This window comes from Homo sapiens, chromosome X (genome assembly GCF_000001405.40).
Source record: "Homo sapiens chromosome X, GRCh38.p14 Primary Assembly".
Taxonomy (NCBI): domain Eukaryota; kingdom Metazoa; phylum Chordata; class Mammalia; order Primates; family Hominidae; genus Homo; species Homo sapiens.
In genome coordinates this window covers 129738623-129764080 of record NC_000023.11, presented here as the reverse complement: position 1 = coordinate 129764080, position 25458 = coordinate 129738623, and the positions used below count along the sequence as shown (strand labels likewise).

Here is a 25458-nt window from a genome sequence, read left to right as displayed (position 1 = left end):
TCATGGCTTCTGGTCTTGCACAGAAAGACTCTTTTCCACCCTGAGATTATAAATGAATTGATATAGGTTTTCCTCTACATCTTTTGTGGTCTCATTGCTCACCTTAAAACTTTGGTCCATCTGGAATTTTATTTTGGAGGTTATTCAGTTTAATCCCCCCAAATGATTAGCCATTTGTTCCCCCTGTCCATTTGCTGAATAATCATTTTTTTCTTACTTTTTTGCAAAATCAGCTTTCTTGTAAACTAAATTCCCATGTTGTTTATGGGAATAAGAGGGTTTACTTCTGGACTGATTGTTCTGTTTCATTGTTACAGCTATCTATTTCATCTCCAGTGTCATACTGTTTTAGTTATGGTAGTTTGTGTTCAAATTTGAGAGGACTGGCTTTTCTTATTGCTTTTTTTTTAGATTGGGTTTTGCTCTGTTACCGAGGCTAGAGTGCAGTGGCGTGGTCACAGCTCACTGCAGCCTCAACCTCCCTAGGCTTAGACCATCCTCCCACTTCAGCCTCCCGAGTAGCTGGGACTGCAGGTGCATGACACCATGTGCAGCTAATTTTTTTTTGTATTTTTTGTTGAGATGGGGTCTTGCCATGTTGCCCAGGCTGCTCTCAAACTCCTGAGCTCAAGCGATCCTCCTGCCTTGGCCTCCCAGAGTGCTGGGATTACAGGCATGAGGCACTGCACCTGGCCCTGCTCTTCTTTTTCAGAATTTTCCTAGCTATCTTCGCATGTTTATTTTTACAAATAAACTTTACTATCATTTTGTGAAGTTACAAAAGTATCCAGTTAGCACTGGAATTGAGGTTATCTTGAATTTATAGATTAATTTAGAGAGTAATGATATCTTCATAATATTGAGGCTTCTCTCCAGAGAGCACCATTTACTTAAATCTTTTTTATGTCCCTTAGTAGAGAGTTTCTCCATGTAAGCCTTTTTAAGTTTACATCTAGGTATTTTATCTTGTTGGCTGCTATTATACAGAATCTTTATTTCTAACAAGCTCCCCTGGCGATTATTATGTGCATTGAGAACCAATGATATAGGGCAGGGATACTGATTCACTTGGTCTGGAATGGGGCCTGGGCATGGGCATTTAAAGCACCAGAAAGCTCTCTGGGTGATTCAAATGTGCAAGCGAGTTTGAAAAGTCTGACTTATGGAATTCCTAAGGAAGACTCCAGATAAATTCATGCCTGCACACTAAATGCCCTTCTCCTTTGATCTTCCTCCCCACTTTCCTCCCATGCAGCCCAAAGTCACTGACATGCTGCCCACACCTCCAGCCCATCCTGGTGGCAGTTTACCTTGGTCTTTGCTTCTACCACGAGAGCCACATCTTCGAGACGGATCCCAAATTCTCCATCCTTATAGTAACCAGGTTCTGGGAGACACAGAGATGCTGGTGGCATTAAGCTGGGAGAGGGCCCAAGCCCAGGCTTCCTGTACCTACTGATGAGTGGCTGGAGGGACTGGCTGTCTGGCTGTCCCCTGGCTGTTGACTCTGGCAGCCCCACAACTGGTTAGATGTTTGTTGGCTAAGCAGAGGCAACTCATCCCTGTCAGGCCTCAGATCCCCCACAGGGGCATCTCTGACTCACTCTCTCTTCCCTGTAGCCCAGCAGGGAAGCCCTAAAAACCCACTTGGGTCCTGAAGGTACTCCCATCTCCCTGGATGCCACTGTCCTGTTACTCCAGCATTTGGCAACTCCAGAGTCTGAATATACAGCTGGGTCTACGGCCATACCACCCTGAACGCACCTGATCTCGTCTGAATATACAGCTGGGAAACAACTCCCAAGAGCAAAAAGAGGGTCTGGGCTGAGGGGAGCTGGAATTAGGGTGGGACAAGCCATTTGGGGCTGGGCGTAGCGGTGGGAATGGGGAGGTGAGTCCCGAGCTGTACTAGTGCCTGCTGTGCTCCTCTGAAGTCTGGTACACTCTAGACTGCAGTCCTGGGCTAGTCCTGCTCTGGGATGGGGTGGTGAGGTAGAGGGGCCTGAGGGCCATACCAATGGAAGTGAACATGCCCTTGGCCATAGCGATGTTGTTGGACTGGAATCCCACTGGCCCTAGAAAGGAAGACATAAACATGGTATCAGTTCTCCTATACTCACCAGCTTGGAAGTGAGCAGCTTCCGAGGAAGAGCAGATAAGTGAGGATCCCAGAGCATCTCTATGAGCACAGGTCCATCACATCATTGTCTGCCTGGGCCTGGCACACACCAGATTGGCTCTGGCTTTTATTATTTATTTAGGTATTGAGAGGGGTCTTGCTGTGTTGCCCAGGCTGGAGTGCAGTGGCGCCATCATGGCTCACTGCAGCCTTGACCTCCTGGGATCCTCCCACCTCAGCCTCCCGAGTAGCCAGGACTACAGGCACATGCCACCATACCTGGATACTTAAAACATTTCTTTTGTAGAGACGGGGTCTTGCTGTGTTTCCCAGGCTGATCTCAAACTCCTGGCCTCAAGTGATCCTCCCACCTTGGCCTCCCAAAGCAGTGGGACTATGGGTGTGAGTCACCACATGCAGCTGGCTCTGGCTTTTATTTCTCTGGGGTCTATATAAGTTAGTCACTAGGGCTTGACCCTCTTTCTGGTGCCCTCTTGAATGCCAAGCAGCCAGCAGGACTGGCCTGCTGCTGGCATTCCTCACTTACCCTGTGGAGCTGGGTAACCTTGGGTAGATCATGGCATCTTTGTGGGTCTTTGTCATTTCCATACCTGTGAAATTCTCTACCTTCATAGAGGGTATAATAAAAGGGGGGTGGCCTGGGGAGTGCTGAGGAGACACCTACACTCATGCACACACAGGAAGTTGCCAATGCCGTGGCCTGTCCCATGACCATAATTGAGACCAGCATCCCACAAGGCTCTGCGGGCAAAGGCCTCCACCATTCGCCCTGGAAGGGAAGAGAGATTGACCCCAGTCAGATGGCTTTACCGAAGACTGTCCACCTTGCCCCTTCTTGCTTCACTATCAGAGTGGTGCCTAAGAAGAGGGGCCCCTGAGAGGCCGCTAAGCATGCACTGATGCAATGATGTTGGGTTGGGATGGAGGAGGGCTGATGGATGGAGTTAGTGGTTCCCTCGCCAGACCAGCCCATCACTATCTCCAGCTTACCATACATTGTATCCATTACCTGAATTGATGCCTCTACTGTAATTTCTCCCCATCTGTCAGGGCTTTGCACTTTGACACCTAATTCCTCTAAGAATCCTCCCATAATTGCTGTGGCCCACTGATCTCTCCCACCTCTGAGCAACAGTGTTAGATTAAGAGGCAGGAAACTCAGGTTCAAGGCCTGGATCTCCCGCTAACCTTCTGTGTGACCTTGGGCAAGTCACTTTCTCTCTCTAGGCTGGATTTTCTCATCTACATAAGGGATGGGATGATGACAAAATCCTTGCCCCACCAGCCTCCCAGGGTGATGGTCTGAGTCCTGTGAAATCAGGGCCTGAGGCTGTGTCCAGACTGGTTTCTGAAACCCACCTGATGTAGCAGCGGGAAAGATGAGCCTGGACAGGTCAATATTTCCTATCAGCACACGGGTGTATGCCTCCTGATGGGGAGAGGAAGAGGTGATATGGAGGACGGGAGGAGGAGCCAGAGGAGTATCCAGCTGCTTGGCCTATGGATACACGGTGCAGGGCCCAGGCCTGGGTGTGTGTAGGCAGGGTGGGGGGAGTCTCATCGTTATGTGTGGCTGCCCGGGTTCTGGAAGATGGCCAGCAGAGGCTGAGGAGGGCCTTCCCAAAGCTGGGGCTCCATCACGTGCTTCCCTCTGGCTGGTCTATGAGGATCATTACAATATCTGCAGGAGACACTTGGTGGCGGTGAACCGAGGCTGTGACTCCCTGGGCTGAATCCTGACTTAGCCACTCACTCTGAGACCTTGGGCAGGCGACTTTAACTGCTGTGTGCCTCAGTTTCCTTATCTGCGATGGGAAGATAACAGGACCTAGCTCCTAAGGTTGTTGGGAGAGGCAGGCAGACTAATGTACAGAAGGTGCTGCCAACAGCGTGCATGCTTCACGGAAGTTTAGCACACTCATTCCTGTGGTTGTGACGGCTGCTGAGTTTTCTTAAGGCCTTTCATGAGGGTTGAGGTTTGCTGACTTGGCAGCTTAGCCTTCCTCTGTCAGCGGAGGGAGGTGGCCTGACAGTGGCCTCTTCTGGTCACTTCCAGAGGCGATGTGGTCAATCTCCATCACCACACAGGTTCACAGGCTTGTCACTTTGGGCAGGACAGCCAGAGGCAGCAGACTCCGCCGCTAAACTGTGAGCTCCTGGAGACCTGGACAGCATTTTGTTCCCCTCTCTGTGTTTCCAGCACAATGTCTGCCCCATAGTCGGCCTGCTGCATGCAGCATGACGGCAGCTCGCTGCTCCACCCCCAGGGCCCTCTGGTGCACAGAGACAATGCCCTCGCCTCTGCCCCAGCTGGCCAGCCCTCGATGTTTCCTGAACACCTCTGGCTCCTTTCCACCGCGGAGGCTTCACTTGTGCCGTTTTCCTCCACTTGGGATGCCTTTCTTTCTCCTTTCTGCTGAGTACAGGGCCAGGCACACAGGCAACAACAAAAAAATATTTGTGCACTGATTTACCAGAATAGGATGAGGCTCAGCTTGGGCTGAGGCCTTGTCAGTGGCCTGAAATATCCCCGGGGAAGCAGCAGGGAGCACTGGGTTTTCCGGCACCAGTGGTGTCACCTTGGGCAAACTACTTAACCTCTCTGAGCTTCAGTTTTAGCCTCTGAAATGGAAGGGATCTTGACTGCTTGGGTGCCCCCTTGGGGGAAGGTGGTGAGGGGAAATCTGGGCCCATGCTTACCTTCTGGAAGGCAGAGGGGGTGCCCCAGTGGACTGTTCTGGTGATGTCTGTGGTCCCGTCCCTATGGAGAAGGAAAACCAACATGCCAAATGCCTGGGGCTAGGGACTGGGGCCATGTGCTTTCTGTGTGCTTTCCACAAGTGGCAGGGCTGGGATGGGATGGGTGGACGGCGAAAGGAAGAAGACAGCTACCATAATCAAAATCCCCTCTTCAGCACCTATGTGTGAAAGGCCTCTGCAAACCTATCAAGTTAAAAGTTACTAAGTTGTCTGACAAGTGTGACTCCCCACCCTACACACTCCTCCCCCATCCCACTCATTTTGGCTGTTCTGTAGGTCTGGGTTTCCTTGGGTCCAGCTGGTTATGAAAGCAAGGCTTCTTCCAGGCTTCCTGGGAGGCAGAAAGGGGAATGTCCCCTTTTTACAGCTGGGGAAACTGAGGTCCAGAGAGATTATATTATCATAACACTCTCATATTCAGATAGTTGTCGACCATTTATAGGACACTTTTGCTGCTCCCTGGGAAGAATGGTAGAAGAGGCCTCATTATCCCCAGTTCACAGATGAGGCCATTGAGGCCATGCGGCTGTTTCCCTCTCTGAACCTCAGTGAAGCCAGGCCTAGAGCAAGCACTGCCTCTCCACACAGTCCTCTCCATGGCAAACACGGATCTGACCCAGTGACTTGCTGAGTTCCAGTTAGGTGAAGCCTCAGTCCCAAGGTCTGACTCCCAACTCCCAGCTGCAGCAGTTGCCACAGATGGCCCCTGTGATCATGCCTTGGTGAGGGAGAGGGGAGAAATGGTCCCAGGGCCCTGGGGCTTCTCCTTGGGTCATGGGGTGTGGTGACCTTCTTCTTCAGAAGGAAAGAAGAGGAAGTGAGGTGACTATTTCCCCGGCCTCACCCTACTCTGAGCACACCCCATTCCAGCAACGCCCCCACAAATTCACTTCCCCTTTGCTCATTGGCCATCTCAAGTACACACAGCATCGAACTCCTGACCAGCAAAGGCTGCTAAGCTGAGCGCCTGCTACTCTGGATCCCCTAGAGCTGTGCTAAGAACAAGCAAAGAGCCTCTGTCGTTAGCACATTCGCCATTTCCACAGGACTCCTTGCTCCTCCATCAGTTCAGTACGGCCCTTCTTTTGTCCCACCCCACGCTTCCCACACTTCCTTCCTCAATGAGAAGGGAAAATCTTTCAGGTCAGCTCAGCTCAGCTCAACTCTGGTGTGAATGATCAGTCACACGTTTGGAAGGAATGGGGTTAGCCTATTCTTTTTCTTTCTTTCTTTCTTTCTTTCTTTCTTTCTTTCTTTCTTTCTTTCTTTCTTTCTTTCTTTCTTTCTCTCTCTCTCTCTCTCTCTCTTTCTCTCTCTCCCTCTTTCTTTCTTTCTTTCTTTCTTTCTTTCTTTCTTTCTTTCTTTCTTTCTTTCTTTCTTTCTTCCTTTTATAGTCTTGCTCTTATTGCTCAGACTGGAGTGCAGTGTCACGATCTCGGCTCACTGCAACCTCCGCCTCCCGGGTTCAAGCGATTCTCCTGCCTCAGTTTCCCTTGGGAAGCATGCTCCACCACACCCGGAAAATTTTTGTATTTTTAGTAGAGATGGGGTTTCACCATGTTGCCCAGGCTGGTCTCAAGCTCCTGACCTCAGGTGATCTGCCCGCCTCGGCCTCCCAAAGTGCTGGGATTACAGGTGTGAGCCACCACGCCTGGCCAGGTTAGTCTATTCTGCACGGCTGTCATGTCTGAGCATTCAGGTTGTACACTGTACAAAGGTAGCCCATCAAAAGGGTTGCTTCTCTCATCTGCCCCCACCTCCACCCTGAACAGTGCCATGGGGAAGAGGGGGCTGAGGAGTCTGCATGACGTTGGTGGTGCGGGGGTGTCCAGGGTGTGCACTAGTGGATGAGAGTAGGGTATATGTGTTTGTGTGGCCAGGCAGGGACATTGAGTATAGTTGCTCAGACTGTGTAATAATACGTGGACTTAGAAAACATTTTACTTGAGGCTGGGCATGGTGGCTCATGTCTGTAATCCCAGCACTTTGGGAGGCTGGGGCAGGTGGATCACCTGAGGTCAGGAGTTTGAGAACAGCCTGGCCAACATGGTGAAACTCCATCTCTACTAATACATACATATATATATATGTGTGTGTGTGTGTGTGTATGTGTGTGTATATATATGTGTGTGTATATATATATGTGTGTGTGTGTGTATATATATATATATATATATATATATAGCTGGGCATGGTGGTGGACACCTGTAATCCAAGCTACTTGGGAGGCTGAGGCAGGAGAATCACTTGAACCCGGGATGCAGAGGTTGCAGTGAGCCAAGATCGCGCCACTGCACTCCAAACCTGGGCGACAGAGTGAGACTCTGTCAAGAAACAAACAAACAAACAACCCACAAAAAACAGCAACTTAAGCAAAGGGAGTCTTTTCCTAATTCCCACAGAGGTGCTGCCTGGGTCCTGCCACTATTCCAGCCTCTGTGTATTTCCCACTGTGCAGGGACCCCCATGTGTGAAAATGGGTAGGATGTTCGGGGCTCATTCCAGATCTCTCCTTTTTCAGACGAAGAATCCGTGGCCCAGGAAGGGAAAGCTTTGGCTGACTCTTGGCAGGCTCAGGAGGTCTGAGCAGAGACATCCAGGCTAGGGTGAGGTCGGGGTACATACCAGTACTGCCCCCCAGAGTCCAGCAGGTACATCTCATCTGAGGACAGCTTGCGGTTCAGCTCCTTGGTCGGGCTGAGAAGGGGAGAGAATGTTGAGAAGGGCAGCCTAACCCTGCACTGGGTCACGTGGGAGGCCTTGGTGGGAGGACCTCTGGGGCCTGGGCTTCCAGGCCAGTCCCTCTGGAGGAAGTCATTCTATCCCAAAGGGCCCTGGAAGAGAACTCAGCTTCCGTTGCTGCTGTCCTCAGCACACGTCTGTTAATCCTGCACCTGGCTGAGCCAGGCCCTGGTCCCCAGGGAGGAGAGAGAGGGTAAAGCCCAGAATATGAGAGCTGGGAGAGCCCTAGAGACCCCCCAGCTCAGCTGTCTCCTTTTCCATAAGGAGAAGCAGGCCTATGGAGGCCAAGGGGCTTGCACGAGGATGCGCGGTAAAGCGGCAAAGAGCTGGGCCTCTACCCAGATGCTCCCTCCGGCCCTTTGTCTCTAACTTCCTGCTGCCTCCGAGAGCAGAGGGCCCTGAGAAGAAGCAGAGCACAGGAAGGGAGGATACCTCCAGGGTGGGGCTGCTGAGCAAGAGGTGGTAAAGCCGAGGAGCACCCACCCTGCCACTCTAGCCCGAGTGGGTAGGAGGGGCTGGGGCAAGGCAGCCGAAGGCGTGGGAGACACCAGGGGACACCAGGGGAGGGAATTCTGGGACATGTCAGGCACTCCCTTGGAGGGCATTGACCTCTCCCTGCTGTGCCCATGCCAGGCGGAGGCAGCTGGTCAGCTTTTCATCAGGCAGGCCTGCAGGGGTTTGTTTTCTATAGGGCCAAACACCTGGCTAGCCTGTATCTTGGGCCCACCTTGGCTGGTTCAGGCTGAGTGAACAGACCTCTCTCCATGTGAACTCGTGAGCTTTAAGCATTAGCTAACATAAGCAACACATGGGAAGCCAGGGAAAAGCATCCAATGGCATCGGTGTCTTCCTTCCAGGTCCCCCAGCCTCCAGCTCTCAGGCCTTTTCATTACAAGGCAACTCCCTACTCCACACTGAGCTCCTCTCCCAGCCCCCACAGGGCTAGGGGCCTCGGACCTTCAACGTGGACTCAGGTCCCAGAACATCCCCCTCCCCTCACCCTGTTCCTCTACACACACAACAGGATGCCCCAACAGGGCCCTAGAAAATTCTTTTTCCTCAAGTACCTGTAGTGGGCCAGGGCAGCATTCAGACCACTAGCAGAGATGGTTTCAAAACTGGGTCCGGAGGAGAACTGTTCTTCTCTGGAAAGTACAAGGCAAGGCATGGTCAATGAATGGGCCCCTGGACTAGGCTGGGCCCGGGATATCTAATCAAATCCAATGAAGGTCATGGCTGCCTCTACCTCTCAACTGGACACCATTTGGCTCTCCCAGCCCTCACCTCCTGGTTCCATCTCCTCAAGCCCTGACCTGTCATTTATAGAGGAAGATCAGAGGACACACTGTAGACACACATTATTTCCTCTCCACCTCCATTTTACGGATAGGAGTGAAGAAACCCAGCTCTCTGTATCTGAAAACTCCCCCAGTCCTGGGAGAGCATCCTGTACCTCAAACCTACAATCCGGCCCTGACCTGGGCCAAGCATGCCTTCGGGAATCCTCCTCCCTACCTGGTATTCTCAAGTGGTCCAGGGGCTGACCTGGTCTGAGCCACAGCACCCCCCAGGGAGATTCAGACCGTACCTGAAGCAGACACTAGGGGACGCTATTGGGTTGTGGCCCTTCGAGTTGTCCTGCTTTCAGCGGGGCGGGAAATATCATCCAACGCCCCCTGCTCAACTCCCCGACCACCCAAGAACCTGTCACTCCTTGTTCTCCAGAGCCCTCCCCCACCCAGCACGCATATGAGGAGGATCTTCCTTTCTGCTAAGTAAGGGGACAAATTCCCCCTCCCTGCCCCCACTGCCACACTAAAAGACAGTCAGCCAAAAAGGACGGCCGTGGCTCTTCACCCTCGGAACTTGTCCACGATCTCTGCCCCCGAGAACTCATCCACTGTGCCTTTGGGCACGTTCTTCTCCAGCCAGACCAAGTACCGGATCACAGCCACAGCGTCCCGCACCTGGAGTTGGGGAAGCAGGGAAACAGAGGAGCCGGGTGAGGTCTGGTTGCAGCCACAGGCTCCAAGATGATGGAGATCAGATAGCGGCTCCAGGATGTGGAGCTTTGAAAACACTGGCTATTTGATGTCAAAGAATTCTTGTTAGTGTTTATATATGATCATAGTGTGTTCCTGTTTTTGAAAGAGTTCTGTGTTGACGGCAGAAATGACACACTATCTAGGATTTACTTTTAAAAGAATCCAGCAGCAGAGGGGGTGGTTGTGGTGGTAATGAACATGGGGTTATAGACAAGACAAGAATGGCCATGAGTCAAGGATTATTGAAGCTGGATGAAGGGACACTGGAGATTATGATGCTATTTTCTTTATCTTTGTGTGTGTTTAAAATTTCCTATGAGACAAAGTTTTTTTTAAATGAGGTGGTTTATCTTAATTTTAACAAGAATTCTTTTTTAAAAATTGAGCCATCCTCTTGCCAGTGTGAGGAAATCATTATAGCTAACACTTATTTAACACTTAGAATGTGCTAGGTGGTGCTCAGAGCAATATACATATTCATTGAATTCTCACAACAACCATATGCTGTAAGATTACTGTTATGATCCTCATTTTACAGATGGGGTAACTGAGGCCCAGAGAGGTAAAATGACTTGGTCAAGGTCACCCAGTTAGGAATTGGGTGGAGCTGTGGTTTGAACTCAAGGCACCCTAGCTCCAGGGCCTGTGCTCTAAACCACTGTACTATATTGGGGGCAAGGATATGAGGTGCATGTGGGCGCCCAGGAATAATTTGGTGTCTGCTTCTTTATTTCTTTTTCTTTCTTTCTTTCTTTTTTTTTGACCTAGTCTCGCCCAGGCTGGAGTGCAGTGGCATGATCTCAGCTCATTGCAACCTCTACTTCCCAGGTTCAAGCGATTCTCGTGCCTCAGCCTCCTGAGTAGCTGGGACTACAGGTGATCGCCACCACGCCTGGCTAATTTTTGTATTTTTAGTAGAGACAGGGCTTCACCATGTTGGCCAGGCTGCTCTCGGACTCCTGAGCTCAAGCAATCCTCTCACCTTGGCCTCCCAAAGTGCTAGGATTACAGGCGTGAGCCACCGCGCCCAGCTTGCTTCTTTGTTTCATTGAGGGTCTTCTTCAGGCTCTTCTGGAGGCCTTTCCTTTCTAACTCATTAGGCTGGATACTCCCAAAAGGCCATGTCTGCCTGAACGTGGACTTACGTGGCTGGCCTTGAGGAGGGCCTGCTCCTTGCTGTTCTTCACTGCCTTGGTCATCATCACTGGGGAGTAGGTGTCTGTCACGAGTTTCTCCTGTTGGGGGCAGGGAGGAGAAAAGGAGGTCTGGGGGCACAGGTCTGGGGGCACAGTAAAGGAGGTCTCCATGGCACAGGGGTGTTTTCAGAGGACTGGCAGGAGGACCCAGCAGACGTGAGATTTGCCACCATTTCGTGGCAATGCTCTCTACTCTGTGTGTGCTTTCTGTCTTTCCTAGTTTTCCACGTCCAGCTGAACCCTCTCTCCTTCCAGGAAGGCTTCCTTGATTGACACTGCCTTGCTTGGCAATGAACTCCCTGTCTTCGGATCCCACCAGCACTCTGGGATGGATCAGAGTCTGGCCTGAGTCACTCGACAGGCTGTCCTGACAGTGTAAGTTTCCTGTACATATCATGACAGCTACCATTTATTGGACACTACCATGTGTCAGTCATATACACTATCTCCTTTAGATCTCCACTGAGCGACTCCTGCGAGGTCAGGACTCTTATTGCCATTTTATAGGTGAAGAAAAAGACCCAGATTGGCTAAGTTGCTTGTCCAAAGTCACTGCACAGCTAGTTAGGGACAGAGCTGGAATTCATTTTCAAGTTTGGCTGACTCCAAAGTCTCTGCTAGATCAGGCCGTATACTCTCCAGCCTCCTGACAATTTTATGAGCTCTCTGGATGGCCATCCCTGTTTCCTCTTCTGGCTCTTCCCAGTTAGGCCAAGAAGGGAACTCACTGCACAGTTGTTGGCTGACCAGATGACTGAATGGCTGAGGGGCTTCACCTCACTTTAGGTTAAGACTTCTCAGGCCTAGAGTGGGGATTGGTGCCTGGCTTGGGCTGGGGCCTGGCAAACCCACCTTGGGTATCATTTCATAGATCCCATACATGGTATAGCTGGTCCCAATCCAGATCCTCACATCTCCCAATGAGTAGGCCTGGATGCTGTCACGAACTTGGCTGTAATCCTCGATTTGCACACACATGGGGCCTGTGCAACTGGAGTTCAGATAGCTCAAGGTTTCGGAGCTAAAGCGACTCTTGTTTGCAAACAACCTGGGTGGGGTGGGAAGACAAGGAGGGTCCTGAGCATCTGCTAAGGATGCAAAGGACCAGAGGCAGTCACAGTCCCTCTGTTCCTGGAGGTCAAAGGAAGCCAGCCCCAGGGAGCCAAGCAGGCCAGATTTGGGATTCAATAGGGACAGAGGTTTAAAGAGTCAGGAAAAGACAACAGGGGGTTTTCTAAAGGGTCGTGCTGCAGCAGGCGCCGAGCTGATGGGCAGCCAGAGGGCTGTATATTAAGGCGGGATCAGTGGTGGGGCATCAAGAGGGTGGAAGTTGGAGAAAGTCCACAACAGCAAGCTAAGGAAAAGCCATACCTAATAGAAGAGTCTGTGAGCAGCGTGTAGGAATAGAAGAAGGGGTTATAGGGGATGTCACTGGCTCGAAGGTTGAAGAGCCCTGGGAAGAGAATTGACAAGGAATATTTAATGCTGATCTGCCTGAGGCAAGCTTTTCTTTTCCTCTTTTTTTCCTTTCCTTCCTTCCTTCTTTCCTTCCTCCCTTCCTTCCTTCCTTCCTTCCTTCCTTCCTTCCTTCCTTCCTTCCTTTCTTTCTTTCTTTCTTTCTTTCTTTCTTTCTTTCTTTCTTTCTTTCTTTCTTTCTTTCTTCCTTTCTTTCTTTTTCTTTCTTTTCTTTCTTTTTTGACAGTATCTTGCTCTGTCACCCAGGCTGGAGTGCAGTGGCAAGATCTCACTGCAATCTCCACCTCGCAGGTTCAAGCAAGTCTCCTGCCTCAGCCTCCCAGGTAGCTGGGTTTGCAGATGCCTGCCACCATGCCCAGCTAATTTTTGTATTTTTAGTAGAGACGGCGTTTCAACATGTTGGTCAGGCTGGTCTTGAACTCCTGACTTCAGGTGATCCGCCCACCTTGGCCTCCCAAAGTGCTGGGATTACAGGCGTGAGTCACCGCACCCGGCCAGAGGCAAGCATTTCTGACACTTTTGCCCCACTGTTTCCTTTGGCCTCCAAAGATTACCAACAGCATGCTTGTATCATCTACCTCTGCATGTTACTCAATCTTTTTGCCGGGGGGGGGGGGTGGGGGAGTGGGCGTCTTTGAGATGCTGTTGAGAGTTATGGATCTTTTCCCCCCAGAAAAATGCAGATACTTAGCAGTCAGCACACAGTTCCAGTGGGTCCCTGGAATATCTGAAGCCCAGCCATAGGGATCAGACAAGAAGTCCTGAGCCATGTCGGAAAGAGTAGAGTCCCACTGGGTGCTAAAGCTGGGAGTGTGAGTGCCCTGGGGTAGTGGCTAAGTTGTTGGGAGGCATTTCCTGGTCCTCCTCCCCTTAGTGGGACAGAAGCACTTTGCTGCCATAGTCAGTTCGTTCCTCTGGTGGCCTGTGGGCTGGTCCCAGCTTGCTCAGGGCTACCTTTTGTCCTTTTTCTGAAGCCATGAGCTCCTGCCCCCTTACCCTTCTTGGTTCCCACGGGCTGTGGCCATGGAGTTCTCAAGAATTGGTGGGCACATGGTTATTTGGGGAAGAGCTAGCTCTGTGCTGCAGGGCCCGGGAGGCTTGGGGCATTGGGGAGACCCAGGCGCCCACCCATGTCTGCAAATCCACACTCACAGGCCGTCTCCTCAAGCGCCGACAGAAGGACGGCAGTCGGGACCTTTTGATGCTTCTGCATCTGGCTTCGGACGCCAGATACTTTCTCCTGCCAAGTGCTCCCTAGAAGCAAAGGAGCCCCAAAAAAGTGTAAGTGACAGACCTTGCCTTTGGCACTCGGTTCCTGGAAGGTCAGCCTTAGGGTAACAGTTTTGCATCCTCTTAAAAAGCAGCGAAACCCTTTCCTCAAACAAACTCTTACTTGTGTACTCATTAATGACATGGGCCCTGGACCCAGATGGGGCTCAAATCCTGGCTTTGCCATTACTGGATGGGTGACCTTGGGCAAATTACCTAACCCCTCTGTGTTCCATTTTGCACATTTGTAAAATGGGGATGGAGTATAATAAGCATCTGCCTCAATAGGGCTGCTATGAGGATGGAATGAATTAATATTTGTAAAGCACACAGAATGGTATCTTGAGATGTAGTAACTCTTGTATCTTTCTGATTAATAAATAATCATGCAGACTGAGATCAAGAGAGCAGTCCTAGTTGAAGGACAAAGGGGTAGGGCTGGGGCCGTGTTCAACTTTCTCTGCAGTAACCCCAGTATTTACTAAGCCACGGGTACTGGGCTAAGCACTCCATGTGCATTGTTCTAATTCTTACCCATCCCATTTTACAGATAAGGAAACTGAGGCTTCAGAGAGGTAAAGTGACTTGTCTAGGGTTTCATGGATGCAAGAGGTAGAGCTGGGATTTGAACTCTGGTCTGTCTGACTGCATGGCCCACGCTCTTAATCTGTACAGACACCGTACTGTCTTGATAACATTCTCAGTCTCCAAATCTGTCCTTAAACTCTGTGTCACAGCACCGTCCTTTCTCAGATGCTTATATCTGGGTTCTATGACTTTAGTTTTCATCTTCTATCCCTGCCCCCTGCAAGATATTCAAAGAGTCTACCCCTAGGCAGGACTAGGAGTTTGCTGGCCGAAGGCCATAAACATTAAGGGTCCTAGTTGGGTTCAGATATGAGCATAAATAACTTAATGTCGTGAAAAATATTTCATGTGAACAGGTAAAACTATTCAACAATGACCAAAGCTTTGGGTACAATACATTTTTGTAGGTTTATTTTACTACATATTTTACACATAATTTATGTTATGTGTATTTTACACATAACATAAAACATATCATTTTAATCTTTTTAAAGTGCACAATTCAGTGGCTTTCAGCATACTCACAATGTTGTGCAACCATCGCCACGATCTAATTCTAGAACATTTTCTTCATCCCCAAAGGAAACCCTGTACTCACTAAGGAGTCACTCCCTATCCCCCCTCCCCTGAGCCCCAGGAAATCCCTAATCTATTTTCTGTCTCTATGGATTTGCCAGTGCTGGATATTTCATACAAATGGAATTGTACAATATGTGGCCTTCTCTGACTGGCTTCTTTCACTTGCAATTATGTTTTCAAGGTTCAGGAATATGATACCTTTCTGAGAAACCAAATGAACCCAAATTTCAATGGTCTGGTGCGTACAGGTATGTTTGAGTAGCGAACTTTTCATGTTCTGCCCTTTGCACTCTCCTTTCTCCTTTAAAATCTGCAAGTGGCTGGAAAGTCTCTCTCGTCTTTATAAGCTTATTGAAGCTGAACTCTGTTCTTCGGCTTCCAAACTCAAGCTCCAGGTGCCTTTTTCTTGAAGACTGGCAGCGGGTGATGACTCGGCATCCCCTCACTTTTGGGAAGTGACAAAACCCTTCCAGCCCCAGGAAGGTTTTTCTTTTTTCCCTTCCCCTTCCCGACATAACTTTGACTTTCTTTATCTGAATAAGATGAGTTTTATTTATGATTTAACAGTCTTGGATAACAAATTTCTTTAAAAATGGTGTCAAGATGCAGAAAGAATGATTCTGGAAGTTACATCAGAACAGATAAAGAAAAATGGACACAATTTTCACTTGTTTCGTCATGGCTGCTATTTTGAAATCTCCCTCCTGCTGTATTGGCTCCTTTCTAAGTGAGAAATTATGTGGACTTGCATGCGGAAAGGGATCTCTTGGCTTGATCAATGTTACTAGGAATCCAAGTTCATTGGCTCATTCAGAATTCCCAGGGAGATAGGACTGGTTGGTGGCCAAGACACTGATTCATAATCAGTAGGCTGGTCCTGGTCAGGACTTTAGTTACGACTTACAGGAATCTTACAACATACTGTTCTTTTGTGATGGATTTAGATAGTGTCAACGGGGTCAAGGTTATTGATGTTATATTTTTCTAACCTTCCTGATTGGTCCAGCAAAACCTGAACTGTAATCTGTGCTACAGAATGACTCTGAACTTAGTTATTTACTTCCTCTGTCCACTCCTGGCCCACCTGACCCCAGCCATCTCACAAATCTAAATTCTTCATCACAAGAGGGTCAGAAGTAAAGGTCTGAATGATTCATTATGGATCAGTCTCTGCCACCAGGCAAGCAAATCATATCATGATTTTTTCTCTCTTGAAAGGGGTTGGATATTTTCTCTCATCTTTCTCTGTTTCCCTTCTTTCCTCCCTTCCTGCTCCATCTTGTTTCAAATCCTAACATTCTTTAACCCAACATTTTCTAAATATGGCCGGAGGACATTTTGATTCAGACTCCTCAAGGGGAGGGGGCCCTGAAATCTGCATTTTAAACAAGCATCCCAGGTGACTCAGGTGCATGCTAAGGTTTGCAAACCACTGCTTTGGTACCTCTGATGATGAAGTTTGCCACCTACGGAATAGCAGCCGGGACCTGCGTTGCTACAAGTTGGGAAGGAAACTGGGCTTACTGAATCACCTGTGAATGCCTCCTGCAGGGCATAAATGGGTTGATTTGGAACCGGTGGCCTCTCTGATCCCCATACCAGGTCCACAAGATTGGTTGTGATGGACACCAGCTGTCTGTTAGAGCCTTGGAGGGCCAGATCATAACTCTCCCAGGTGTCTGCAGAGACAAGAAGGAGTCACTTGTCCCTTGCCCATTTACACCCCAGGAAAAAATTGTGATTCAGGCAAAGTTAGTCCTGGTTCCCTTTGCCTCCCTTTGCAGCCCAGCTGCCCGGAGCCTGCCCCAGCAGCCTGCCCACCCCCCACCCCCGGCATGTATGCCCACGCTGGGGTATGTTTCTCATCCTCTTTCTGCTTTCCAAGCCTAATGCCCTGAGCCTACTCTAACACTGACTGCCACAAATTGGCTAAGCTTGTCTTTTTCATTGCCAGTGGCTGTGGGTGGTCCTTCTCTTGGGCACTAATTATTTTATCAGGGCTTCAGTGTCACAGTCAAAAGGAATGGTGATGTTCAGGCCATTGGACAGGCTGGCAGAGAAGCCAGTTCTAAAGCACAAGCCTTTCAGTACATATTCATGAGGACTCCCCTTTGGGGGAATGGGCTTGCCAGCTGTCTGAGGCCCCAGAACTCCGGGAGTTGTATTCTCAGGGGCCCTTTTTTTTTTAAACTCAGAAGCCCTCCCAACTCTTTTGACCCTTCTAAGCTACCTTCCAGAAGAGGGTTACCATGTGATTCCAGCATCATCATTGGCAGGGTTCCAGGGCACAGAGGATGGTTCTGGGTTCAAGCACATCCTGGCCTATTCATCCACTAGCTCTTTAATGATTCACTGAGTCTTCTAGGTTGGGTCTCTGCACTCATGAATTTTAAAATATTTGTACTGATTCTTTTAAATGTATTTTAATTACACAATCCATGAATACATCCTCATTGCAAAACATTCTGCAACTACAATTTCAAATGCTCTATCTTTATAGTCCCACCGCCCCTCCTTCTACCAAGGTCCATTTCTTTATATCCTAGGGAAGCTGAGTCACCCTCGTTAGCATGGACAAATTCAGGGACTGAAGGAAGAGCATACCAATGGACAAGAGGAAGGGGTCAAAACCCACACGCCCTCCAGCAGGAATCTCGGTGAGGAGCCAGGTGACAATAGGAGTGGTGCCAACTGAAAGAAAGATAGGAAGCAATGCAGAGGTCACCTTCAGGGCCAGCCCCAGGCTCTCCAGCCAGGGGTTCTGTCTGATGGTCCTACCATGTGTGTCTTCCTTGAGATCAGCCTTGAAAGTCAGTGATGGCCTCAAATTTCCTAAGCTCCCCATAGAGGCCCAGCATGGTCTTACATGCACGCTCTCACCTATACCTTCCTGAACCTAGTCCAGGTCCCAAGACTTGGGGAACAAATCCATGCGGCCCTTCTACCTTCCTTATGGAGCTCCCAGTTGCAGTCCATCTGCCGCTCAGCCTGAGTCCAGTAGCGACTGTCGGTCCAGACAGCTGCTTTCTTCATAGTCACCACTGCAGTTCCTGGGGCAGAACAGAGAAACTTGCAGGTGAGGGTGAAGGGGAGGAACGTGGCATTAGCTGATGGATGTGCAATGCAGTGCTGGCTCTGAGAATGCCACAAGGGGCCTCTGGAAAGAGATTCTCTCCTCCATTGGAAAGAAGTGAGGAAGGAGATCTTAAAAAGAGCTGTGGGGGGAGCTGGCAGAAAGGTGTCCTGAATCAGGCACCTCTGCTTTGTGTTGAGGGCTGCTTGTGGACTTTCAGCAGAAGTGAGGTCAACTTTTGGCTGCATGTAGGCGCTCTCAGGAAAGATGGGGCTCAGCGTAAAGACTCGGTGGCTGATAGGGAGGCTAAACCAGAGGCTCAGCTGAGGACTGCTGGGCAAGAATAATCCAGAGACTTTGGCAAAGGGAAAAAGAGCCTACGAGGCACGAGGCAGGGTAGTTTGAAGCCCAAGGAGGAATGTTTGAGGATCAGGAAAGGAAGCTTGGATTTCATTCAATGGGCCAGGATCACGGTGCGAGGCCCCTTCAGACACTGTGATCTCATCAAGGGCTTATATGTTTGTGTCTCATTTGGCCATGTGAAGTGATGTTGTCCGTAAAACAACCGGCAAAGGAAAACTTTGTCTCCAAATGAGCCCTCATGTGAAAGGAATCAGCGGGTTCTTAGCGGTTAGAGGTAGAAGTAGCAACTATTTAGAAACGGAGCCTGGGAGTGCTGGACTGGGCCTGGTTGCAGCAGAGGTAATGAGCACAGGAAGGCAGCCTCTGCCTCATTTCTACACAGAAAGTGGCTGGTGGGCTATGAGATATGTGCCCTGGGGAATCTGATGGTTTTGGGGTGGTGGAGGGAGACAGAGAGAGTAGAAGGGTTTTCTCTACAGTAGGTTCTGGGGTCCCAGATGCTGAGACACTAGCCACATTAGGTCCTCTGTGACCACCTCTGGATCTACCAACAAAAGCAATGGGGCTGGGTAATGATTGTCACCTGCAGACCCTGTAAAGCCTGTAATCCACGCACGCCTCTCGTCATGTTGGCCGATGTACTCGTTCTAGGAAATCAACAACACCATCATTAGCCTTTTTCGTGGTATCAGATCCCACATGAAAGGCCCCCAACCACATCCCAGTTATTTCTGTCTGTCGGCTCCAACCCCTTGTCAGCTACAAGCCCAAGCACACCAAGTGCCTCTTCCAGGAAGCCCTCTGTAACTCTCCCAGCCTTCAATATCTTCCCTTCCTTTGAGCAACCGTATCTTTTGCAGTTCAACTCCCCCGCCCCCACACTGTTCACACTGGACTCAGTGTAACACTGGACTGTTCTGCAAAGGAGACTTGTTGCCCTGCCCTGCAAATTCTATGCAGTCTAGGGTCCTGTCTTTTGGCTCGTTTGGGTTTTCCCCTCCAGCTAATCCTTCTCCCTCCTGAGTCAAGCACAGTAGACTGGGAACATCATAACTTCTGCAAAGGGCTTTACACATTATCATATTTTGATCCTCATAATCCTTGGAGATAGATCTCATTACAGACCCATTTCTCTTTGCAGAAGAGGAAACTGAGGCTCAGGGAAGTTCAGATACTTACCCAACGTTCTTAGCCCTTCCCAGCATGTGGGAAAATTAATTTAAACAAGCTCATTGACACTAAAAATGCCCTCTCTTCCAAATGGGCTGGTGTTGGAAAGGTGGATGGTGTGGAGGGTGGAGCTAGTGAGGGGAAACGGTGGGATGGGTGCCCCCCTCCACAACCAACCCCGCGCTCCCTTAACCCAGGATTTTGGATTATTTTGCTACTCCATTCCACAGAGTATGGGAAGGCCTGGGCCAGAAGGGAGCTTGGAGTTCTTCCAGCCCAATTTCCAGCCCACCTTCTAACCTCCTAGGGCAGGGATACCCTAAACATTCATTCTGGATCTGCCTTCTGGGAATTGATGAAAATTGATTCTGAAGTTGTTTATAGTTTAATTTCTTGAGGTTAAGGAGGTTTGGCAATGTCTGCCCGCCTATGTAGAGGGATACATTCTTTCACTTGCCCTAAAACTACCGTGTCCATGCTCTCTACTTCCCTCCCTTTGCCCATCAGATCCTTTCTCTGTCTTCATCTTCTGAGTTTTAACAGCTCCTGTTTGTGGTCTCTGACCCAGGGTAGCAGAGAGGGCAAGGGGGAGAGAAGCTGTCTCTTACCATGTGAGCATCTGTGCCTGGGATGATGTAGGCTGAGAGATTCTGGGTCTGCATCTGCTGGCGGAGGGCTGTGAGTGACATTGTGGTATTGACCACAGTAACTGGAAGGTACTGACAGATGACAAGAAGACATTGAGACACAAACAAACAGATACACACGTTGCTTAGAGAAAATGACATCTGGGCCCCTGGCCTCCAGAAGAGCCCCCAGCCTCTCCTGAAGCAGCGGTTGGGGGAAGTTAGGCTGGCCTGGCTTGGGAAGGGATGGGGTGGCAACTGATGTTACTGCTTAGTCTAGATTAAGATGCCTGGGCTGGGTGGAGATGGAGGTGTTGGAGAGTTTGGAAAGGGACCCCTTGTGACAGTAATGGGACCTGAGTCTGGGATATGGGTGTGGGTGAGAACTGCAGGGGTCTGAGCTCTGGCATTGGGCCAGGCCATGCAGACAGTCCTTCTTTGGCTACCTGGGGGTAGGGTTGCCAGATTAGCAAATAAAAATACAGGACACTCACCTAGTTATGTTTGCATTTCAAATAAACAATGTGTAATGTTTTAATGTAAGTATTATATTAAAACATGCACAATTTGGGGCATACTTGCACTAAATTCTTATTTGTTATCTAAAATTCAAATGTAACTGGGTGTCCTGTATTTTATCTGGCAACCTTCCCTTGGCAGGGCTTTTTCAGGTTGCCACCCACTGGTCCCAAATGGCAGAGGAGAGTGAATGAATGCCCCCAGCAGTTTGAGATATTGCCCAGAAAGACCCTTTCCAGACCAGTTCTCTATTTCTTTACAGGTCATTTTAGCTTTAAAACGAAAAGCATGTTTCCGTTTGTGCTGTTTTGCTTTCTACTCCACGATATATCCATGTTTGTTTTAATATAAAAGTAATGTGGTTTGCCCACCCACCTGCCTGCCCCAGGGGTCCCATAAAGTTGATATTGCTAGCAGATGTACTGCGTTTTTCCCATGGCTTACAGTGCTGCTGGCATGCCTACCCCTTAGCCCTACTCTGATTGTAGAAAGAATCACTCTGGTCTCCAGCTAGGAAGCTGACTACCCAAGCCCCTTCTGCTGGGCCTTTTCCTCGTCTGCACACCCTAGGCCTCCCTCTCTTGCCCTTCCGTTGGCTCTTCTTTGGTTTTGGTTTTGTTTTGTTTTGTTTTTGAGACAGAGTCTTGCTCTGTCGCCCAGACTGGAGTGCAGTGGCACAATCTTGGCTCACTGCAACCTCTGCTTCCTGGGTTCAAGCAATTCTTCTGCCTTAGCCTCCTGAGTAGCGGGGATTACAGGCACCCGCCACCATGCCTGGCTAATTTTTTTATTTTTAGTAGAGACGGGGTTTCACCATGTTGCCCAGGCTGGTCTCGAACTCCTGACCTCAGGTGATCCACCTGGCTCGGTCTCCCAAAGTGCTGGGATTACAGGCGTCAGCCACCGTGCTCGGCCTCCGTTGGCTCTTCTAACCTCTGTCTTCCTCCCTCTTCCCTTCTGTGCTTCTCTTTTTGCTGTCACTCTAGAATTTGTCTTTTCTTTCCTCTGCCTGGCCTCAGCCAAAGGCCAGTTAGGGGCCTCCTGCCCTCCTCCCTCCTCCTAGAGGGGTTTCCCAGGCCCAGATCAGGACGGAAGCAGATAACCTGCTGGGGGAATGAATGGGAGGGAGGGGAGGGCACTGATGTGGAGGGGAGGGAGTGGAGGGGGGAGGGGCCCAAGAGTCCGGAAATCAGGAGAAAGCCTGGTAGGAGGAGGGGCTACCAACTGACCCAATGAGGGATAGAGAAGATGATAGAGCAGGGCGGGGGTGCTGCGGTGCAGGGGTGCGTGGGGCAGGGGTGGGGGGGTGCGTGGGGCCAGGGGGGCCGTGCGCGGGGGGCAGGGGGCACTCACAGGGGGGTTGGTGGAACAGTTTCTCACATCCTGCCCTCCAAGGTCCACTGGCTTTGTGTGGCCCCAGGCACAAGCTAGAAGCCGGGAGAAAAATCCAGGGTCATTTGGGGACCAGCTAGTTCCTAGAGAGGGAAGGAGTATCCTCTCAGCCCGCCCCACGGGGCCTCCATCCTTTGAAACGCACGAAGCTGGCCAGCTCTACTTGAGGATAAAAATAATCACATTTCATAGGAAATCAGGCTGAACTGGATAGCACCCTGGGTCACAATCAAAGAAATCTGTTTCATAGACAAGTGATTGCCACTTTTGGATGGGTTTTAGTGCTCATTAAATCAATTTTTCTTCTAATCTAATTGGGTCTTTTCAGGGTTTAGTGAAGTAGAAAAGTTGTGTGTAAATTAAATTTTTGTTATCAAATTTTCTTTGAAATGCTCTAGAAGATCACGCTAAATAATCACCCCACCTTCATTTTAGCCTTTTATAAATCTAATTGTATGATACATTGGGTTGACTTCAATTCAAGGCCTGCTTGCACTGTTTCTTACAGTCCAAATCTTTGCCTATCATTCCAGGCTCATTTTCAATATATTAGACAGAAATCCTAGTCTGCCATGGTGGGGAAAGATGGATTAATTAGTATTTAAAGACACCCTATTATGTGCCAGATACTGAACGCAGCAATTCATCTACAGTATCTCATTTGATATTTGTGACATCACTATGAGGTGGAAATTATTGTTCACTTTCTGCAGAGGAGGAAGTCAAGGCCCAGATAGATTTGGTAACTTGTCTAACTTGTGCCACCAGGAGTCAGTGGTAGAACAGGGATTTGAACCCAGGCCATCTTAATACAAAAGAGGTGAGCGCACTTTCAGTCCTCCCACTCTGCCAAGTATGAGAGGTGGGCCTGAAAAAGGTGATGCCACAGAAGGGACAGAATATATGGAGATCTAGTTTCTAGTTTGGGCTCTGCCCCCAATTTAGAGTGACTCGAGAGTGACCCCCCCCCAATATTCATTGAGCAACCATCTCCTAAGCGCCTACTGTGTGCCAGGCACTGGACTAAGTTCTCCAGGCTCTGGACCTCTGGAAAGGAGGGGCTTGAATTAGACAAAGCGGTCTCTGATAGTCCTTGCCTCTAACCCCCCTGTCTTTTAGGGAGGGATTTCCCTAGATGGTAATGGGGCCCTGAGTGTGGGGAGACATTACACTCCCCCGCCCCCCCTCCTTTTTTTTTTTTTTGAGACAGAGTCTCTCTGTCACCCAGGCTGGAGTGCAGTGGGGCGATCTCAGCTCACTGCAACCTCCGCCTCCCGGGTTCAAGCGATTCTCCTGCCTCAGCCTCCCAAGTAGCTGGGACTACAGGCATGCACCCACCACACCCAGCTAATTTTTGTATTTTTAGTAGAGATGGGGGTTTCACTATATTGGCCAGGCTGGTCTCGAACTCCTGACCTCAGGTGATCCACCCGCCCCGGCCTCCCAAAGTGTTGGGATCACAGGCGTGAGCCACTGCGCCCAACGCCCCCCGCGCCCGCATTTTTTTTTTTTTTGAGATGGAGTCTCCTTCTTTTGCCCAGGCTGGAGTGCAGTGGCACAATCTTGGCTCACTGCAATCTCTGCCTCCTGAGTTCAAGCGATTCTCCTGCCTCAGCCCCCCCTGAGGAACTGGGATTACAAGCGTGCGCCACCATGCCTGGCTAATTTTTGTAATTTTAATAGAGACAGTGTTTCACCATGTTGGCCAGGCTGGTCTCGAACTCCTGACCTCAAGTGATCCGCCTGCCATGGCCTCCCAAAGAGCTGGGATTACAGGCATGAGCCACCACGCCCAGCCACACTTTCGAGTGGGCTGAGCTACAGATGCAAGGAGGGTGGCTGGGGTTCAACACCATGAACGTCCTGTGTGATTTTATCTTGGTCTCATAAACTCAAGGATCAGATGCGACCCATACTGTTCATTTAAGAAAACAAACACCCATTTCTGTAGAAACAGATCCCTGGCAAAATGTTGGCACTGATATGCTAACATAAGAATGAGGACACAGCCAACTTATGTCTCTCTGGACACCAGAATATGCTGTTCTCTGAGGCCAGGGCTGTGGCTCCCAAGAGCAGGCTCTGCAGCTGAATGACTCTGTGGTCCCTGGCACAAGGCCTGGCACTGGGTAGGTGCTCAGGAACTGGACATTGAGTGACTGATCAGGCCCTGCTGACAGACAACAAAGAAAGGAAGGCTAGGGTGGGAGCGCTGGGCTGGGCACCTAGTTGAGGACAGAGAGGGTGCCGCAGGAATGACAAAGAGGAAAGACTCTCTTCCTGACCAAAGTTTAGTTAGGCTCCCCCAAAGCCTCTTCTCCACTTGGCCTTGACCTTGGCCTTCTGTGTCTGTCCTGCCCTTGCCAGGCTTGCATCACCCAGTCTTAGCAAGAATCTTGCTAAGTCAGTTTAGACACCCTTGATATCTGATCACTCTGGCCTGCCGTCAGCAAGAATGCTGTTCAGTCGGTTTAGCAAGAATCCCCCTACCCTTGCTATCTCCTCTTAATACTTTTCCATCCACTGACCCCCTCACTCTGCTCCTTGGCTACAGATCCCTGGAAGTCTTTTCTGTAATCAGAGTTGAGCCCCATTTCTCTCCTCTATTGCAATGCGGTAGTCTTAAATTAAGTTTTCCTTACCGTTTTAACGAGTGTCAGAATATTTTTTTTCTATAACGGGGGGAATGGAAAGGTGCCAAACCAGACTCGATCCAAGTTATGAGGGCCCCCAACACTGGCCCTGAGGTGTCTCTTCCTCAAGTCAGAGAGAGGAAGCAACAGAAAAAGAGACTCGGGCCCCAACCCTCACTCCAACCCTTTCTGAGCTCAGAGGGGAGAGGTCAGAGCTGCCTTCCAGTGGAAGCTAGGATGCACATACCACAGAGGAGGACCAGCCAGGGGCAGCAGCCCCAGTGAGCCCGGGCCATAGGGTCTCCAGATGCCGGCGCTGGGTGGATGGAGGGACAAGGGAGAGAGGGAGGGCTCTTTCCCCGGCCTCTTCCTTCAGGCCTTTCCTGGGCTCGAGCAGACAGAGGGTGGGGGCTGGCGTCAAGAAGGAGGCGTCTGGCTGCTGGGTGGAGAGTGCTTCTCTGGTCTTTTGTTTTGGAGGGCTCTGGGAGCCAGGGTGGGCAGAGGAGCTTTGGGCTGCCCGAGGCGGACTGTGCAAGTTCCTAGTCGTGTAGGATAGGGTGTGAGGCTATCCTGGGCAGAGTCCAAAGATCTCAGAGACAGAGGCACAACAGCTGGTCTCAATCAGCCTGCTTTTCCCAGCCCCCTCTCAGCGGCAGAGCCCCAGCCATTCCTTAATTCGGTCCCCTTCCCTCCAGCAAGCTGATTCCCATTAGCTCCCACACTCTGGGCTCTGGCTCCAGCACTGCTTTTGCTGTGGGGATGGAGATTTGCCTCCTGCTGCTGCTCCTTTTCCTCCCCACCTCTTCTTCCTCCTCGTTTTCCTTCTCCTCCTCCTTTTTCCTCCTTCCCCTCCTTTTCTGGGCTCCTCCACTTCCTCTTCTTCTTCC

At 50.1% G+C, this 25458-nt stretch overlaps 1 protein-coding gene across 1 annotated transcript in view, besides 3 other annotated features; it reads right to left on the bottom strand.

Moving 5' to 3' along the window:
* Positions 1 to 25102, bottom strand: part of XPNPEP2 (X-prolyl aminopeptidase 2) — a 30558-nt gene extending 5456 nt beyond the window's left edge. Inside the window, exons 1-19 of the mRNA NM_003399.6 lie at positions 24819 to 25102; positions 21900 to 21973; positions 20010 to 20120; positions 18815 to 18878; positions 17741 to 17845; positions 17400 to 17486; positions 16328 to 16474; positions 13512 to 13613; positions 12255 to 12336; positions 11736 to 11931; positions 10833 to 10922; positions 9500 to 9609; positions 8710 to 8787; positions 7526 to 7597; positions 4841 to 4901; positions 3500 to 3569; positions 2805 to 2909; positions 2016 to 2075; positions 1311 to 1387 (exon numbers count right to left, since the gene is read on the bottom strand). Of these exons, the coding sequence (NP_003390.4) occupies positions 1311 to 1387; positions 2016 to 2075; positions 2805 to 2909; positions 3500 to 3569; positions 4841 to 4901; positions 7526 to 7597; positions 8710 to 8787; positions 9500 to 9609; positions 10833 to 10922; positions 11736 to 11931; positions 12255 to 12336; positions 13512 to 13613; positions 16328 to 16474; positions 17400 to 17486; positions 17741 to 17845; positions 18815 to 18878; positions 20010 to 20120; positions 21900 to 21973; positions 24819 to 24867 (1740 nt within the window). The 5' untranslated portion in view covers positions 24868 to 25102. The remainder of the gene's footprint in view (positions 1 to 1310; positions 1388 to 2015; positions 2076 to 2804; positions 2910 to 3499; positions 3570 to 4840; positions 4902 to 7525; positions 7598 to 8709; positions 8788 to 9499; positions 9610 to 10832; positions 10923 to 11735; positions 11932 to 12254; positions 12337 to 13511; positions 13614 to 16327; positions 16475 to 17399; positions 17487 to 17740; positions 17846 to 18814; positions 18879 to 20009; positions 20121 to 21899; positions 21974 to 24818) is intronic.
* Positions 3954 to 4033: an enhancer, noted in NCBI's record as "active region_29921". NCBI's record gives its function as "activates an Ori minimal core promoter by ATAC-STARR-seq in GM12878 lymphoblastoid cells {active_cell/tissue: GM12878}" and the evidence as "EXISTENCE:reporter gene assay evidence [ECO:0000049][PMID:35858748]".
* Positions 4054 to 4103: an enhancer, noted in NCBI's record as "active region_29920". NCBI's record gives its function as "activates an Ori minimal core promoter by ATAC-STARR-seq in GM12878 lymphoblastoid cells {active_cell/tissue: GM12878}" and the evidence as "EXISTENCE:reporter gene assay evidence [ECO:0000049][PMID:35858748]".
* Positions 7697 to 8196: an enhancer, noted in NCBI's record as "H3K4me1 hESC enhancer chrX:128889861-128890360 (GRCh37/hg19 assembly coordinates)". NCBI's record gives its function as "activates a minimal SCP1, AML or CMV promoter by ChIP-STARR-seq in primed H9 embryonic stem cells {active_cell/tissue: H9 hESC(primed)}" and the evidence as "EXISTENCE:reporter gene assay evidence [ECO:0000049][PMID:30033119]".